We start from the raw sequence: 5340 nt of genomic DNA, 5'->3' as shown, positions 1-5340 counted from the left end.
CAGCTTATACAAAGCCAAACAGAACAAAATGCTTTCAGAGAAGCCCCTTGTCACTGCACGTATACAAAACACACAAAAGCAAAATAAACCCAGGAGCCCTGGGTTCCATTAGTTATTCCTGGTCTCCCTGGACACTTTAACTCAATGGTATAACTGATTTTATTTTAAATGTGGCCACTGAAAAAGACAGTAGTGTCAGAACAAAATTACTTCAACATCTTTTGTTATAGTATTGCCTAAAATGAGGTATAAACGCCAGATGATATGTGAGTTGATTTTAGGTCTTATGATAACTATTTTTTTTTTTTTTGAGACCAAGTCTCACTCTGTCACCAGGCTGGAGTGCAGTGGCATGATTTTGGCTCACTGCCACTGCCTCCCGGGTTCAAGCAATTCTCCTGCCTCAGCCTCCCGAGTAGCTGGGACTACAGGTGTGTGCCACCACGCCCACCTAATTTTTGTATTTTTAGTAGAGACAGGGTTTCACCATGTTGGTCGGATGGTCTTGATCTGCCCACCTCGGCCTCCCAAAGTGCTGGGATTACAGGAGTGAGCCACCACACCCTGCCACTATTTTTTGTTTTAATGCAGGTGTATTTATTTTTAAATGTGACTTTACAAATGATATCGTTTAAGAAGATGCTGAGTATGGGTTTCCCTGAAAGTCACAGCAAAGAGAGTTCACTTGGAAAGGTATCCCAGGAAGCAGAAGTGAGGATCTGGGAGATTAAAGTGGGGATCAAGGGAAAGAAATACATGGAGGCATGATTGAGTTGACCATTGCTACAGTCAAGCAGCGTTTGATCCACAGGACCTTCTGAGGCATCTTATGACATGGGTCTCAGGGCTGTCTCAGGGGATGGAAGGGGAGAGGATTTATCCAGCAACTCCCAGCCTCCACTAATCAAAGGTGGACCCACTCTTCTGGATTGCACGAGCATGAGTGGCCAGCAGTCCTGGCAGGTGGTCTGAGGTGCTAACCAAGTAACTATGCAAAGCTGGCTGGCTGAGACCTACATGTAACTGGCTACCGCAGCAGTAGCTGGAGTAAGAGGTAGGCCCTAGATTAGCTAAATAATGAACTGGAGGTGTCCAATATGCCACTGTAAGTTTACTTTAAGTGTATGTGTTATATACATAATTGTATAAAATTACATATAAATATATAATCTTGTATAATTATATACATAATGCAGTTGATATTACTACGTATGTTAATCTGGGTTGTCCAAGTAGCAGAGGAAAAGATGGGATTAAATGTACAAGAAACATGTTAGGAGTCATGTGTATAAGACAGGGGTGTCGAACCTTTTGGCTTCCCTGGGCCACATTGGAAGAAGAATTGTCTTAGGCCATACATAAAATACACTAACACTGATGATAGCTGATAAGAAAACAAACAACAAAAAAAACCCTCATGTTTTAAGGAAGTTTACAAATTTGTGTTGGGCCACATTCAAAGCCATCCTGGGCTGCATGTGGCCCACGGGCCATGGGTTGGACAAGGTTGCTATGAGAGATAATAGGGAGGGAGCCAGGAGAGACTGAGAGAGCCATCAGGCTATGCAGCAGGTCTGATCCTGAGTGAAGGAGAGAGGGAAGGAAGGAAGATTATTCCTCATGCCCAAGTCTCAGAGTCTAGTGCAGGACTAGGGAAGAGTCTGGCAAGACTGCCTTTGAGAACCCTCAAGCCCAAATGCAGCAGTGTTGTCAACTCAATCATGCATCCACCTATCGGTTTCCCTCCCTTCCTGTTTCACATTCCCAGGCCCCCACTTCTGCTTCCTGCAACACCTTTCCAAGTGAACTTCCTGCCAAAGCCTTTGCCTGAGGTTTTTGAGAAACCCATATTTAGCCTCTTCCTAAACAACATCATCTTTGAAATCACACATATTAAAAAATGCACAAGTAGCAAGACTGAACATATTCAGCACAGTGCCCGAAATCAACTCCCATAACACTGGTATTGGTGCCCACTGGAGGGACAGCGCCTGGGGACAGGTCCCCCTGCGGTGTCCCTGCTGCATGCAGCCATTGGCTGGGAGCAGCTGGGGGGAAGAAGGGCTCATTGCAAATGGGACTATGGATTTCCCTAGGCAGAGCTGGACCCCTGTGTCAGTAAAATCCCTGAAATCAGAAGTCTGACAGGCACATTCTCAAGGTCACCTCTGCACACATATAATAGAAATTATGAAGATTAGATAAACATGTGACTGCAGTTTTAAAAACCTGGCCCATAGCCAGGTGCGGTGGCTCACACCTTTAATCCCAGCACTTCGTGAGGCCGAGGTGGGTGGATCACCTGAGGTAGGGAGTTCAAGAGCAGCCTGGCCAACATGGTGAAACCTCATCTCTACTAAAAATACAAAAATTATCTGGGTGTGGTGGCACACATCTGTAATCCCAGCTATTTGGGAGGCTGAAGCAGGAGAATCATTTGAACCCAGGAGACAGAGATTATAGTGAGCTGAGATGGTGCCATTGCACTCCAGCCTGGGCGACAGAGCAAGACTCTGTCTCAAAAAAAACAAAAATGAAAACAAACAAACAAACAAACGAAAAAAACCTGGCCCTTTCATAATTGTTGAGAATCAGACTCACTGTTTACCTGGCTCAAAGACACTAGTCCTTAAAATTCTAACTACAAACAAGGGAGCTCCTCTTGTTCCTGAGGTGGAGAAACATGAATTTGGGGCAGATTTCTGTACAAGGCTGTCCTAGATTTAGTGAGTGGATATTTCTTTTCCTTTTACTGCCCGACTTCTCACCTTCTAACATTTCCCCAACCTCAAATCCTTAAGTGTTTCTCTCTTTGGCTTTTTCGTTTTGTTCTTCCATAGTCAGCAGAGGAGCTCTTTTGAAGCAAACATGGGTGAATTAAAAAATAAAGCCTGTGATCTGAATTGCAAGAGCTTCCTTCGGGAGATAAGTGTTCTGAAGTCCCTGTTTGCCTGGGGTGGGTCTGGGGTAGTTGTAGCAGGCTTACTGAATAGCTGTTTAGTTAGTTGTTTCTCTGTTTGGGGCAGGTAAGTCGGTATTCATTCAGCATGGATAAATCAACTTTCCTCATTCTCTTTCCTTTCACTGTTAGTGAAGTAGCTTCTCAGATCTGCCCTTAGAATCCTTAATTCCAGTTAAAACAAAAACTATCAATGCGAAATAAGTCACAGGAATTGTTCTAAAGCAAAGGCATCTGGGTGCTTTCGTGTTTTCCTTCCAGAAGATGTTGAATTAGGAAAAATTTAAGGTGATCTAGGAATTCCCTGAATGCTTTTGGTGGTGTGAACATATTGTGAAAAACAAGCTTCTATTAACGCATCAGCAGGACAAATATTGAGAAGGATAGAAAATGGGTTTCAGCAGCCTGAAGCTTTGAAGAAGAGCTAAGGAGAGTTCAATTTAACTTGTTTTTGGATACTGTCCTGGAGCTCACACTCTTCCTCCTTCTCGTGTGTCGTGTGGACATGCAGAAGACGAGGATATGATTTTTGTAACATGGAGCATTTTTAATCCCTTTCCTGTCACACTAAGTAAATAACTCACCGTGAAATACTCAGGAGATGACTCTAAACTGCAGTAGGATATGGAGCAATGTACAAAATTTTAGATGTGGACATTAATAAACCTAGCCAGAGAGTATGGTTTAATGGCTTGTCGTGGTACCAGAAACATGGGCGCCATTTAATGGAAGTTCTATCCTCATGCTTGGTTGTCTCTTAAATTGTAAACCCATGAATCCTCTGGAAGCAGCTGCCTGGGAGCAAACAGTACAATAAAACTCACCTTTCCTCAGCCTCAAAGGACTGCTGGCTTTCAGCAAAGCCCAGGTTAAGGAGGTGGGTCTCTTCCAGCCCACATCTCTTCTGTGATAACAGGACTCTGTTTTCTATTTTAGAGCAGCAGAACATGAGTCTTAGGAAGGTAAAGATGTCTGTCCAAGGTTACCCTGCAGGGCTAGTCAAGAATTATAGACCATGTTCTCACTCATAGGTGGGAATTGAACAATGAAAACACATGGACACAGGAAGGGGAACGTCACACACCGTGGCCTGTTGTCGGGTGGGGGAGGGGGGAGGGATAGCATTAGGAGGTATACCTAATGTTAAATGACGAGTTAATGGGTGTAGCACACCAACATGGCACACGTATACATATGTAACTAAACTGCACGTTGCACACATGTACCCTAAAACTTAAAGTATAAAAAAAAAAAGATTTATAGACCAGGAGTAGGACTAAAGCCTCCTGATTTTTATTTCAATATTTCAGTGTTTTGACCTCCTCCTTGGACATTACTTATGTATGGAACTCACATATACACAGAGATTTCTCAAAGACCTATATTTAAGGGTACTTAGCATAGCCCGGCTATTCACAGGTCCCTGCTAGAGCTACGGCAGCAAGGAATGAAAACAAAGGGAGAATTTAATGCCTATTGAAAGCTGACTCAGAGCATGTAAAGGTGAAAGTGTGTGGTCGGAAGGCTTAGCTGCCTGTTGAGTTCTGTTATTCAGTAACTCAAGGAGCCTGTTGTGAGCTGCTTTGGCGCTATTAACACATCTGGAGCTAGTGGCCATACACTGGGGACTTTTTAAAATGTAAAAGCAGCTTTGTAGGCAAACTTGTGTTAGAATGAAATACTTCTGAAGACCAAAGGCTAAGTTTATAGAGTGCACCTCTCTCTCCCTGACTCAGTTCTGGGGGGCTTTTGATGGAGCGTATGCTAAACCTATACACTTATTTGGAGGAGTAAAAATTGTCCTCCTGTCCTGGGTTGTGTTTACTTTCAACGTAACCCTTTGGATCTCTGAGCAGATCCAAAAATCAAACAAACTAACAAAACAGTCAACAGAGTGGAGACTCTTCTGATATTCTCCGTCTGCACCTAGACCTATTTCCCCACCTGCTCTAGGCCCCATGAGGGTGAGTCTGGATAGTGGGCTCCCTTTCCCGCTGGGTGTTGGGTTGGGTTTGGCCAGTGGAGGTCACTGTCAGGAGATGAGAGAGTAAGAAGAGATGGAGAATTGTTATTTATTCTCTATGTCATGACCAGTTTCATCATTATCATCTCTTTTCACCCTTTACCTCTCCAGATTTCTGGAAATAAATTCCAGAATAAGAGTTCATCCTGCCGATCCAGAGCCACAGTTTGGAGACGCTGTATTCCTAGATTGAAGGCCTGGCTCCTGGTGGACAGCCTTCTCTCTAAAGCTACTCTCTCCAGGTTCTGGCAACTGCAGCCAAAGGGCCAAAGGTAAATCATGAGGGAAGCCTGCGGTGAAAGTAAGGCAGCATAGAAATGAACCAGGAGCAATTAAATGAAATAATAAAATGACAGGT

The 5340-nt window shown here is 43.8% G+C and overlaps 1 annotated feature.

The window, feature by feature from the left end:
* Positions 4118 to 4895: an enhancer, noted in NCBI's record as "OCT4-NANOG hESC enhancer chr2:205147042-205147819 (GRCh37/hg19 assembly coordinates)". NCBI's record gives its function as "activates a minimal SCP1, AML or CMV promoter by ChIP-STARR-seq in naive H9 embryonic stem cells {active_cell/tissue: H9 hESC(naive)}" and the evidence as "EXISTENCE:reporter gene assay evidence [ECO:0000049][PMID:30033119]".

This window comes from Homo sapiens, chromosome 2, assembly GCF_000001405.40.
Source record: "Homo sapiens chromosome 2, GRCh38.p14 Primary Assembly".
NCBI classification, from domain to species: Eukaryota; Metazoa; Chordata; class Mammalia; order Primates; family Hominidae; genus Homo; species Homo sapiens.
Note: the sequence above shows the minus strand (reverse complement) of the source record. Positions and strands in the feature narration are given on the sequence as shown.